Source organism: Homo sapiens, chromosome 1 (assembly GCF_000001405.40).
Source record: "Homo sapiens chromosome 1, GRCh38.p14 Primary Assembly".
In the NCBI taxonomy this organism is placed as follows: Eukaryota; Metazoa; Chordata; class Mammalia; order Primates; family Hominidae; genus Homo; species Homo sapiens.
Window position 1 is genome coordinate 67,109,687 of NC_000001.11, and position 13,793 is coordinate 67,123,479.

The window sequence follows — 13,793 nt, forward strand, 5'->3', positions numbered from 1 at the left end:
TGCCTCTTTTTTCTCAGGGATAATAGTATTTACGTCATTGGGTTGTTGAGGATGTAATTTTTCTTTGAATAGTGCTTGAGGCACATATGCAATTACATGTTTGATATTATTATCATCATTTCCCACAAGAAAAAAGAAAGGCCATTAGAAAGTCCAAGAAAAAACATAAAAGTGTACTGAACAGTTAAGGTCTAAATATGAGGGAAACTAAAACATGGCATTTTTTTAGTAATAGATAGAGAAAAAAGAGTCCATTGTTGTTAAATTGTACCCACTGAGAAGAAAGGTAATCCAAGCACATTACTTTGTTCGGTAATGATTATTACAGAGACATTACTATAATGTAAATGAAATGATTATTTATAAATAATAATATAAATGCTGTTAATAGTATTTTGAGTTTTAGAATTAACCTACAAACAACTTAATCAGAGTTCAAAGCTGAATATAATAGTTGACTTAAAAAATGTGAAAGTAAATAAATATATACTTGACCTAGGGAAGAAGTGTGGAAGATAGTTGGAAGACAGGATAAAACTGTTAAGATCTTCATCATATATAAAGGGGAATCAGGAGTTAGTGATTAAAAATGATGGGAAAAAAGTTAGATATATTATTTCAAGTTGCAAAAATTAACAATAGAAGAAAGGAAAAAAGTAACTATCAAAGATCCAGAAGAGGAAAGTGGGGAGAGGCAGGATGCACGGTGGTATAAACAATCTTTGTTATTGATTTTCACTAGATAATGTTTAAAGTTGATAAATTAAAATCAGCAGTAGAAACTCATTCTTTAGAAATATGGAGTTAATCTTATAAGGTACTGAAACCCAAAAAGGTTAAACTTGGTTGCTTCTGAAAAGAGGAAATTAGAAGAGGAAGCAGAGAATGAAAGGGCTGTGTGTGCTTATTAGTGTTTCTCTACTATTTGCATTTAAAATATCACATGGATATTTCTATTTTTAAAAAACTAAAATTTTATAATTTTTACATAAGATGCTAGTAAATGTATTATGATAAGTAACCTGATTGTGACGTTATGTTGTAATACATAGCTTGGGGGACTTTTATTAACCATGAACCTAAATAAAACATGAAATTAAATAAACCATGTAGATGAAGATAAAACTGATAATCCTTTTAATATTTTTTAAATTATAAAATATAGGAATATGCAACAAAAATTTGTTATTAATTATGGCCCTAAGTCTGTATTTCTCCATATTTCTTTATATATATATTATATATATATAAAATACAAAAATTAATACTTAAGAGACTCTCTAAAGTGACTTTCCCTTGCTAATTCTCTGGTTTAATTTATCTCTATAGTTCCCTATATAAAAACTACTGAATGATGTCCAAGGCACACTCAATGCTCAGAGCTAGTCACTCTTCAGCATGCCCATGAACTTCTGCTGAAGTGATTATCAAGAGTCAATAGTGTTGGTTCCAAACCTCTTTCTGGTAGTTGCTATTGCAATTATGTAATTTAATTAACCACCACACATAGCATACTCAAAAAAAGGTCTTGGTTACACATTAAAAGATTAACAAATTGATATATATTTTTATTTAATAAATTTGGATGTTTAAGTTTTACATGTATGTTTTTTATGATGCTCTGTCTTAACTGACTTTATAAGTGCTAGTCCTTACCATGTTCAATAATCTCTACTGTATTGAAATATCTCCAACAAATAATATATTATCTTCTCTACTGTCTCCATACATAAAGTTTTACATAATATCAGAGATGAAATCACTTTAACATTTTATCATTTTGAATCCTAAAATTCACTTGAATTTTGGATTTGTAGGAGCATATATAAAATTATTAGGACTAATTTGAATTTCTATTAAGTAATTACTGAGTATACAAATTACACCTACCTCAGTTGTATCCTTAAGATAAAGATAGGGTCTAATAGATCTTGATTTTAGATGTTCTTCTACTGGCTCTAAAGAAACAAACATAAGTATTTCCATGCTATTAAGTTACTTCTAATTAAACCCAATCAACCATTTTCTCCACTGCAGTAAACTTTTAAGAAATGTAAAAGAATAATTTTATTTACTTACATATGCATTGCTTGTACATGGTTAGAGCTAAATCTATTTTAGAATAATTTGCCTTAAAGTGAATTTCTATTAACAGACTATAACTTTCAATTATTTACTATTATATGATAAAGCTATATTGTCTTGGAAAATGATGGATTTCTAAATAAAATAGAATCATATGTGTTATTCAAAAAATATTTTGGCTAATTCCTTTGAAAAGAGAAATAGAAATAGTCCCTTCTACCTGCATTTCTCTCATATTCAGTTATGAGTTTTAGTAATCTGAATTATCATCCAATGGATATTCTTAAAGTAAGTATGGTGCAGGGGTCAGGCATACAGACTTTGGACTTAGATAGCCTGGGTCCAAATTGCACCTTTTTGTGTGGGTTACATAGCCATAGCCATAGGAAAGTTACTTAACATCTGTGAGTCTTACTTTCCTCATTTGTTAACTGGAAACAATAGCACTTATAGAAATACTTTCTGAGTTAAATGAAATAATAGATGTAACAAATTTAATACGGAGTCTGGTAGTCATTCAATCAATAGTTATTTGTTGATCAACTATATGCCAGACACTGATGGACTCTGGAATTGTGACTCCTGCCCAATGATGCATACATTTTAGTGGGTAATATGGAAAATAAACAAACAAAAAAACAAGACATTGGACTTGTGCAGTGGCTTACACCTATAACCCCAGCACTTTGGGAGGCCAGGACAGGTGGATCACTGGAGCCCAGGAGTTTGAGACTAGCCTGGGCAACATGGTGAAACCCTGTCTCTAAAAAAAAAGTACAAAAATTAGCTGAGTGTGGTGGTGTGTCTGTAGTCTCAGCTACTCAAGAGACTGAGGTGGGAGGATTACTGAGCCAGGGAGGTCGAAGCTGCAGTGAGCCGTGACCACACTGCTGCATTCCAGCCTGGGCAACAGAGTGAGACCGTGTCAGAAAAAGAAAACCACCAAAAAACAAAAAACCAAGGGGTGAATAATTGAAATTTATTCTGTAACAGAAATAAACACACTTTGGTGAGGGAGAACCATAAAAGAGGTATATTGTTGATAGCGTAGTCAGAGGACGCCTCTCTGAACAGATGACATTAACCAAAATATGCAAATGAGCTACAAGTTGCATGAATAGAGTATTGGTGTGTCTAGGCAGAGGGGAAAATATATATTCCTTTCAGGCAATCTGGTAGTTGTACTGAAAAGAGGCTAATGAAGTTGCAATTTGTTTATTTATTTTGAGATAGAGTCTTGCTCTGTCGCCCAGGCTGGAGTGCAGTGGCACCATCTCAGTTCACTGCAGTCTCCACCTCCTGGGTTCAAGTGATTCTCATGCCTCAGCCTCCCAAGTAGCTGGGATTACAAGTGTGCACCACCACACCCGGCTAATTTTTGTATTTTTAGTAGAGATGGGGTTTCACCATGTTGGCCAGGCTGGTCTTGAGCTCCTGACCTCAAGTGATCTGCCTACCTTGACCTCCCAAAGATCTGGGATTACAGGTGTGAACCACCCTGCCTGGTTGAAGATGCAATTTAAATGAAGGCCAGGGAGGTAGGGAATGAGGCTGAATACACACACAAGGTTCACAATATACAGGTCTTTGTTTCTTTTCTTTCTTTTTTTTTAGATGGAGTTTCACTCTTGTTGCCCAGGCTAGAGTGCAATGGTGCAATCTCAGCTTACTGCAACCTCTGCCTCCTGGGTTCAAGGGATTCTCCTGCCTCAGCCTCTCAAGTAGCTGGGATGACAGGTGTGTACTACCATGCCCGGCTAATTTTGTATTTTTAGTACAGACAGGGTTTCGCCATGTTGGTCAGGCTGGCCTCAAACTCTTGACCTCAAGTGATCCACTTGCCTTGGCATCTCAAAGTGCTGGGATTACAGCCATGAGCCACCGTGCCCGGCCAGGTCTTTGTAAGAAGTACAAGTTTCATACTAAGTACAATGAGAATCCGCTGAAGAGGCTTTAATCAGGATCAGCCTACTTTTAAAAGATCACTATATGATTTAAGGAAAGAAAATGGATTAGAGATTTTTGCTACCATTATGGAAGGCCAGGTGATTAGTAACAGCCCTCCTGCTGAAAACACCTTAAAAGGCTAGATTGAATATTTTTTAAAGTCTAAAGAGAATCATTGACTTAAAAGATGATAAGGGATCCCTGGTCTTAAATCTAGGAGAAGATAAGAACTCAGATAGGGAAGCCCAACATGCCAAGCCACTTTTTCCCTGAGAGTATTTGTGATGTGAAGGTAAGATCAAGTTTTGGAAGCTTCATGGCTTGAGATAGAAAAAAACAAAAAGCTGACCAAAGGTCCAAAGTTTTGATATTTAAATGTTCTCCAGTTCCCTTCCCCCACACACAAAAAACCCCCACACCTATTCATTTTACCTGGGATCCAAAAGGGTTACAACCTTAGGGTGAACTAGAATAGTTAAGATTGCCACCTGGATGTTTTAGGGAAAGTGAAGCCTTGAATGCTTTAGTATGTTCTGACAAGTACTGCCTCCATATACCTGGCATAAACAATAAAAAAAAAAAAAATCTTTTCTGGAGTAACGTATCATCACCCTAGTTCTCAAATTGTTCCTATAAATAATTTTCCAAATACCGTCCAGCACACATTCAAAGATAATAAGACACATAAGGAAATATGACATTATGAAAGTGAATCATGAGAAATAAAATAACAATGTGTATAACAAATCCTTTGAGAAATCAAGTTATGAAGCATAATAGAGAAATTAAGCAATAGGGGGTGATGTGGAGTCAAGAAACCTCAGTTAAGAAGGTTGATGAGAATTATGCAATTGAATGATTGTTTGATAATGGAGAGAAAGAGAAAAACGAAGGCAACACGAAAAGCTCAAATTCTCTGAGAACTGATAATGCTGATTCCTAGCTCACGGACTCCTAAAATTTCTTTTTTATTTTGAGATGGAGTCTCGCTCTTGTCACCCAGGCTGGAGTGCAGTGGCACGATCTCAGCTCACTGCAGCCTCTGCCTCCTGGGTTCAAGCGATTCTTCTGCCTAGTCTCCTGAGTAGCTGGGATTACAGGCACGCACCACCATGCCCGGCTAATTTTTGTACGTTTAATAGAGACGGGGTTTCGCCATGTTGGCCAGGCTGGTCTCGAACTCCTGACCTCAGGGGATCCACCCGCCTCGGCCTCCCAAAGTGCTGGGATTAGAGGCGTAAGCCAGCGTGCCCACCCAGCCAGATTCCTAAAATTTCTAACTTGAAAGTAAGTTTCTATTAAGCAAGCTGTTCATACTTGACTTCTAAAAAACAATAACAAGGAAATTCTCAGCATTGAGCTGAAAGGAAACTCAGAGATTTTCTTTCTAGAAGAAAACAACACATAACACTATAAACATAAAAATATATTCCTATTTTGTGAATTGTATAAATTGTCCATTCTGATATTTAACATCTCTTCTTCTTAGTAAGTTCTTTTTTATAGTTCATGGAAATGCTTTTGACAGAGATCAAATTATCAAGAACCTTTAAGACACACATCGGTAAATAATAAAATAAATAAAGCACCCATTAATAAATCAAAGAAGTAAATATGTTACACAAAGCATTACCTGTTGACTCACTTTCTTTATTTTTTACATTTGTTTGAATAAAGAATGGTCTTAAATTTGACTTTTCAAAATTACTCTTTCTAGGTTCAGGCTCACATTTGAAAGAGACATGCCTGGAAGAAATAAAAATTAATTTAAATTAAAATAATGAGAAAAATTACAAAATAAATCTAAAAAATAAATTTGGAGGAATGTGAAGTCCTAGTTATACAGACTTGGATGTTATGTTAATGTTGTCACAGTACCAAGTGTGAAACATTGGACTGATTAAATAGGAGCTGAAAATATTAGTTTTAGTCGTTTAAAGTGGAGGGGGACAGAAAACTACTTGCTGCTGTGATAGCATTGAGGGCACTCCAAGAAACTTATTCACAAGCTGATTAACCCTTTCAGAAAAATATGCTGGAAATAACTTCAGTGAGACATTGAGGACATTACTGGACCTGAATCAAAGTGGTGGGACATAGAGTTAGGGAATTCAGGTACTAGAAAGGATCACAGCATTTATTTATTGTAAAGACAAATTATCCTCCTCTAAATTACTTAACTGGCTAGTGATGGTATATTAGAAAATTAATAGTATTACATAATTGATACTCTTTCTGACCTCTAAATGCTAGAACAACCCATGACTCAGCCCTCAGACCTCAGATACTCACCCTTAGTTGGTATAAGCCAGTCCCACACTGTAACTGTTGTCTATAGGCCAATGTCCCAAATTTATAGTCCAGACTCTAACCTCTTCTCTGAACTTCAGATTTATATATCCAACTGCCCACATGACTCCTGCACTTAGCTTAATTATAAGTATCTTGAACTTAACATATTCAAAACCAAATTATTGATTCCACCATCCCCTTCCTGATCTTCTCCTCACCCAGGTTTCCCCATCTCCATTCAACCAGAGGGTTAGGCCAAAAAGTTTGCAGAAATCTTTTATTTCTCTTTCTCTCTTTTTCCACTCCCAACCTATCAGCAAATACTGTGTCTTTCTTTGAAATAGATTCCAAATCCAAACACCTCTTTCCTCATTGCTCCCAACCAAATCCAAGACCCCTTTATTTTTCATCTGAACCCCTTCCCTATGTCTCTAGCCTTCTTCTGTTTGCTCTCCCTGCTATTACACTTGTCCTCAACATTCTCTTCGCAATACAGCCATAGCAACACTTGTAAAATACAAATGTGACTATCATTTCCTTCAACTGTTTCCTATCAGACTTGATTAAAATTCAAAATGCTCCCTAACAGACAGAAACTTTTCCCCCAGTTCTCATTTCTAAGTAGCAGAATTTCCACTGAATGCCACTCCAGGCCTCTCTCTGCATACCCCTTCACCTCTCAGCTCCACATGAACGCTGAGCAAATTTTCTACCTGTTTGGTTCAGGGAAAGGAATTTAGGCTCCACTTAAGGACCTTGCTCTTTCCTCTGCCTGTAGTATTCTCCCCACAAGGGGTTGACGTGGCCTACTCTTTCATTTCAGTCTCCACTCACATTTCCACCTCTTCAGAAAGAACTTTCCAGCCCACCCCACTTCCCCCATCTAAAATAGTAATCCCTGTTGATTTTAATTCCCTTAATTTACTATATTTTCCTTTATAGAATTCATCACTGGTAAATTTATATTATATATTCATTTGTTTATTTAGTTTATTATCTCTCTCCCCATCTTATCCTAGATTGTAAACTCTGAGGGCACACTATTTATGTGTTTTATTCACTGTGGTATTTTAGCACCTATAGCATGACTGGTACATAGTACATGTTTAATATTCATTGAATGCCTAATAGGCCGGGCGCGGTGGCTAATGCCTGTAATCCCAACACTTTGAGAGGCTGAGGGGGGTGGATTACCTGAGGTCAGTAGTTCAAGACCAGCCTGGCCAACATGGCGAAACCCCATCTCTACTAAAAATACAAAAATTAGCTGGGTGTGGTGGCATGTGCCTCTAGTCCCAGCTACTCGGGAGGCTGAGGCAGGAGAATTGCTTGAATCCAGGAGGCAGAGGTTGCAGTGAGCTGAGATCGTGCCACTGCACTCCAGCCTGGGTGACAGAGAGAGATTCTGTCTCGAAAGAAAAAAAAAATTATTGAATGCATAAGATTTTTGGTAAATTTTTATTGAACTTTCTTATCATCGTACTTTTTAATGGGTTTTCAGTTTGTTCTCTCTTTTAAAAATAATTATGTAATCTCCGTAAAACAATTTATCTGTTCCTTTCAAAAAATGTATCTTATGTTCTTATTAATATCATTGGGGAGGACTTCTAGGAGAGTGTAGTATACTAGTGAGAATGGGCATTGTTCTGTTTCTAACTTGAATGAGAATGAGTCAAGGGTTTCTAAGGATGATGCTGGCTATATAGTCTTGTTAAGGAGGTAATATTTTATCCTTATCTTAAAAATACTTATATTGCTAAAGTATGTTTTTCAAATTCATTTGCAGAGTATATAAAGATATTCAGATATGAATTTCCTTGTGGTGAACCAAAGAGCATAGGCTTTGAAGTTAGACCTTACTTTGCATCTTGACTCTATGTGAACTTCCATAGAATATTGAATACTCTGAATCTCAGTCCTTCATGTGTCAAATAAGGTTAATAGTTATCTCAAGGGATTGTTGTAAGAATTAAGTAAAATAAAGTTTAGAAAGTGATCAACAAAATGTCATAGAGATAAATGAGGATACTCTTTCTTATTCCTGAAATTTACTCCACTTAGTCATAGTGGAGTAATATTTATTTAATATAGTGTTGGATTTCATTTTGTTAAAATAAGTTGTTGAGTGGCAATTATTCCGTTGCCTTAGAATTGGTGACCAGGTGACTTTTTACTCCACAGCTGAGTAAAAAGGAGCAATACATACTCTGTATTCTACAAAGATCCACCAATACTTGGAGCAAGAGATTCTTTTAGGCCTTCAAATAAAAGAAAACTGGTGGGGGAAAAAAGAAAAATATCAGAATTGTGAGTCATTGACCTGTTAGGGTCTGCTGTGGCTTTTTCCTCTTTTCTCAATGTGGGAGGGGCAGGGATGCTTCCTCCACAAAACTGATGAGGGAGTTCCCAAAGAATCACTCATAGAGACTGGCATCTTATTCCTCAGTTGCACATCTGTTAGACACCACACTTGCTGATTTGCCCCATGTCAAATTTGGAGTGAGTGGAATAAGCAAGTAAAGTAGACACCCTGCACCACACTGTTTGGCATGGCCAGGATACTTGAGTTTCTGGGGAAATGCTGGGGACTGAATGTTTGTATCCCCCTCAAATTCAAATGCTGAAGCTTAAATCTCTAACGTTATGGTATTTGGAAGTGGGAGCTTTGGGAGATAATTAGGTTATGAGGGTATAGCCTCATGAAAAGGATTTGTGTTCTTCTAAGAAGAGTTGGTCTAACTCCTTCTCTCCCTGTCTCTGTATTTGCCTTTCTCTCTATCTCCTCATGACGTGAAGATACAAAGAAACAGCTGTCTGCAAACCAGGAAGAATACCCTCACCAGACACCCAATCTGCTGGAACTTTGATCTTGGACTTCCTGGCCTCGAGAATTGTGAGAAACAAATTTCTGTTGTTTAAGCCACCCAGGCTATGGTGTGCTGTTGTAGCAGCCCATACTAAGACAGAAATTAGTAATGAGCAGTGGGGTGCTGCTGTAACAAGTACTTGAATATGTGGCAGTGGCTTTGGAATTTGTTAATGGGTAGAGGCTGGAAGAGTTTGGAAGTGCATGCTAGAAAATGCTGACATTGCCATGAAGGAGATTTTAAAGGTGACTTTGGTGAGGGCTTAAAAAGAAAAGAGAAAAGCTTCCATTTTCTTAGAGACTCCATAAATAATGATGAACAAAATGTTGGTAGAAATATGGATGGTAAGGGCCATTCTGATGAGATCTCAGATGGAAGTAAATAACATGTTATTGGAAACTGGAGGAAAGGTGGTGCTTGTTATAAAATGTCAAAGAACTTGGCTTAATTGTGTTTGTGTTTTAGTATTTTGTGGAATGCAGAACTTGCAGGCAATGAAATTGGATAGTTAGCTGACGTTAGTTCTAAGCAAAGTGTTGAGGAGTGATTTGGTTCCTACTGATGTTTATAGTAAAATGCAAGAGGAAAGAAATGAATTGAAGATGAAATTATTAAGGAAAAAGGAACCAGAAGTTAAAGATTTGAAAAATTTTCAGCCTGCTCATATTACAAAAGAATGAAAAAGTATGCTTGGGAGAGAACACTAAAGGTATAGTAAGTTGACTGTTTGATAGGTAGGTCAGTGTGGATGTGTAACAAGGACCAAATCAGCCATCTCAACAGAAGCCAGGAATAGAGATGGGATTATACCAGCAGAAACACTGCCAGCTGGGACTAAGGGAAACAGAGAAAGTGGGAAAAAATGAAAGAAAACTGTTGAACTTCTTAGATTCTACAGGACCAGATCATAGAGCTACTGTATGCAGCTGTTCAGCTATAACTGTGCACTATTTTTCAAGACAAGGGAAGAAGGACCTCAAAAGCAATTCAAAGATAATCAGGGATGCCACTCCCACAACAGGCCCAGAGGGCATGTGCTCAGGGGACAGGGCTGCCTCCACTTCTATTTCAAAGGGTAAGACCCCTGCCCAGTGGAGCCATGGGTGTGCAACTCCCGCTAGGCAGAGCTTCAGAGGTGAGACCCCTGCCTGAGTGGGTTCTGGAGGCAGGACCACTAGTCTAGTGAATCTAGAGGGCAGAGCTTTGAACCAAAGAGGATTATTCTCAAACCTTAGGATCTCATAGAGTTTGCTTGCATGGTTTTAGAATTATTCAGGACCTGTCATTTCTCCCTTCTTTTTTATCTCTCCCTTTTGGAATGAGAATGTCTATCCTACACCTATCCCATCAACGTAGCTTGGAAACAAACAACTTGTTTGCCTTCACAGGTTCACAACTGGAGAGAAATTTTGTCTCAGGGTACTCTTACCTCAAGTTTCATCCATATCTGATTTAGATGATATTTAGTTGAGAGTTTGGACTTTAGAGTTGATGCTGAACCAGTTAAGAATTTTGGATCTATTGGGATGGGATGAATGTATTTTCCATGTAAGAAAGATGTAAATTTGGGGGGGACAGGGGTGGAATTCTACAGACTGAATATTTGCATCCCCCCCTTCAAATTCATATATTGAAGTCTAAATGCCCAAAGTTATGGTTTTGGGAGGTGCAGCCTTTAAGAGGTAATTAGGTCATGAGGGTGTAGCCTCATGATTGGGATTAGTGCCCTTATAAGACATGAGAGAGGTGCTATCTGTCTCTTTCTCTCTGCCATGTGAAGATACAAGAAGAAGACAGCTGTCTGCAAAGCAGGAAGAGTGTCCTCACCAGACACTGATCTTGGACTTCCTAGCCTTTAGAACTATGACAAATAAATTTATTTAAACCACCCAGGGTATGGTATTCTTTATAGCAGCTTGAACTGACTAATATAGGGGGTCAAATGGATACTGAGGTAGTAACTGTGTTTGGGTCAATTTGCTGATACTCTACCCAGATTGCTGACTGAAAGCCTGGGGATCCTTCGCAGAAGAAATTGTGGAGTATATTGGAGAGTATAGGAGTTGATGGAGAATTTGAAGAGTTGTAGCTGCTCTCCTTGGTTGGAGAATGTGTTCCTCTGAGGATCTCTCATATGTGCTCTTTATGACTAAAGTTGGCCAGAAAATGATTGATGACTAAGGGAAAAGTTGGAAACAGTGTCCAGAAAGAAATAAGAACTTTTGTCTTCTTCTCTCTCCCTCCTCCTTTACTCCCATACAGGAGGATGTGCTGGTAAAATTTTAATAACCTTGCCTTTGGGTGTAGTTTTAATGTGGAATTTTACTCATTCATCGATGGTGTAAGCTACTTTTTTGCTGAACCAAATAATAGTTTTTGAATATTTCCTTATTTTTCATGCTATTCAAAGCATAATGGCTATAGGTAAGGCATACTTTTTTTGGTAAGACTTACTTTTAAGTTTAATCTTCATCATTAACATTTTCTTCCTCACTTTCTTAAATCTAGACAGACAACGACTCAAGCCTTGATTTGTAGTGTTTGCCAATTGCTGTGGTGTAAATACTCCCGTTGTCAATTTCTACCAATGTGATATAATTAAATGTGAAATTTGGAAGAGATGTGTAGTAGCATACTGTTATACAAATTTCTACCATATGAATATAGTAGATGTAAATAACTTCAAAACCATGAATAATAGTAAAATATACAATAATTAGGAAGTGATGAGTTTTGAGTATTATCTTTATTTTTGGTATGCCATTGAATTTTAAGTTTACATAATTTAATTTTTAATGGTGAGTGTTTAATAAACATCTCACAAAATTGCTGAAAATTCAACAAGCAGCTCTAATGAATTGGTAGGAGCTGGCTTTAGCACACCACTGTACCCATATAAGAGAAAAAAGAAATTAGAAGAAGAGTGAGGAGGAGTTGTGCTAGAAGAAGGCCATATCAACCTCCTACTCTCAGTTGAGGGAACAGGAGTAATCAAATTGCTGACCATACCCCTCTCCATTTCAGCTCCCTGTGTCATTAGACTGGCTTGTATAGGGACGGGAAAGCCATGACGAGGGGTGAGATCAAAATACTAAGTTGGACAGACTTTTAATAACCAAAGTGATCAGGATGAAATTAGAGAAATATAAAACTGCTTTATTACTATTACTATTTTTGAGATGGAGTTTCACTCTTGGTGCCCAGGCTGGAGTGCAATGGTGCAATCTCAGCTCACTGCAACCTCCACCTCCAGGGTTTAAGCTATTCTCCTGCCTCAGCCTCCCGAGTAGCAGGGATTACAGGAGCCCGCCACCATGCCTGGCTAACTTTTGTATTTTTAGTAGAGATGGGGTTTCACCATGTTGGCCAGGCTGGTCTTGAACTCCTGACCTCAGGTGATCAGGCCATCTCGGCCTTCCAAAGTGCTGGGATTACAGGTGTGAGCCACCATGGCTGGGCTGCTTTATGTTTTTATGTCCCTGAATCAAGAATAAGCAATGAAATAGTTAAAACTAACATTTTATTTTATATTTCTTTAAAAATCTATATTTGCTTTCTATTCTTGTGGTCAGACTTAAGGATCAAATCTACCTTTGCAGAAAAGAACTGAGAACTGTTCCACCTTTGTCTGTGTTCCAAAACTATTTAAATAGTTCTTTGAAACTACAAAGAAACTCACCTTTGACACAGCTTCAAAGTGGTACTTTTGTAAAAGAATTCTTTGACTGCTTCCTCAAATTTTTCTACAGTTATTGATCTATTTATGTTTTCTTTTTTGTTGAGATTTTTCCCTTTCATATTTTCCCAAAAGTTCATCCATTATTACACCCATGTGTCAAAGCAATGTAGTTACACAAAGCATTCATTATAATTATTTTAATGTCTTCCATATCCATGGCTATAGTTTCTTCTTGATTACCAATATTGTGCCTTATGTTGCCATTGTTTTCTCTTCAATTTTGCAAACTGTGGTCATTTTAACATTCTTTTGGGAGGTGTTAAACATACTAAGTTTCCCAAGTACTCTTAAAAGTTCAGTGTGCTAGGCTGGATGCAGTGGCTCACTCCTGTAATTCCAGCACTTTGTCAGGCCTCGGGTGGATCACCCGAGGTCAGGAGTTCGAGACCAGCCTGGCCAACATGGTGAAACCTCATCTCTACTAAAAATACAAAACATTAGCCGGGTGTGGTGGCACATGCCTGTAGTCCCAGCTACTCGGGAGGCTGAGGCAGAAGAATCGCTTGAACCCGGGAGAGGGAGGTTGCAGTGAGCCGAGATCATACCACTGCACTCCAGCCTGGGCGACAACAGAGCAAGACTCTATCTCAAAAAAAAAAAATAAATAAAAATAAAAGTTCAGTGCGCTTATGAGAGGAAAGCCAAAGTTTGGTGAACATACTGGGAGATTGACAGCTTTTCTTTTTTTTAGTCCTCCAACAAATGCATACTTAACATGGTTTATAAGCAATGTATTGAATTAAAAACTAAGTATTATACATTTGATTTATAAGATTAGTTATACACAAATCCTGTCCTCAACTGATCTTGACTTTCTTTTCTAGTTTATTTGTCTCTTGTCATATTTTTTGAAGTTTCCATTT

At 37.3% G+C, this 13,793-nt stretch overlaps 1 protein-coding gene across 10 annotated transcripts in view; it reads right to left on the minus strand.

Moving 5' to 3' along the window:
- C1orf141 (chromosome 1 open reading frame 141) overlaps positions 1-13,793 on the minus strand; it is a 49,482-nt gene that overhangs the window by 17,522 nt on the left and 18,167 nt on the right. For 7 of the 10 annotated variants that reach the window (XM_011541466.3, XM_011541465.3, NM_001276352.2 and 4 more), the window contains 2 exons: positions 5,666-5,778; positions 1,891-1,958 (listed from right to left, as the gene is read on the minus strand). In XM_011541466.3, coding sequence (XP_011539768.1) covers positions 1,891-1,958; positions 5,666-5,778 — 181 coding nt within the window. Of the gene's footprint in view, positions 1-1,890; positions 1,959-3,927; positions 4,071-4,464; positions 4,590-5,665; positions 5,779-13,793 lie in introns of those variants that run through there. The other 3 variants (NR_075077.2, XM_047420478.1, NM_001276351.2) reach the window with 3 other exon arrangements.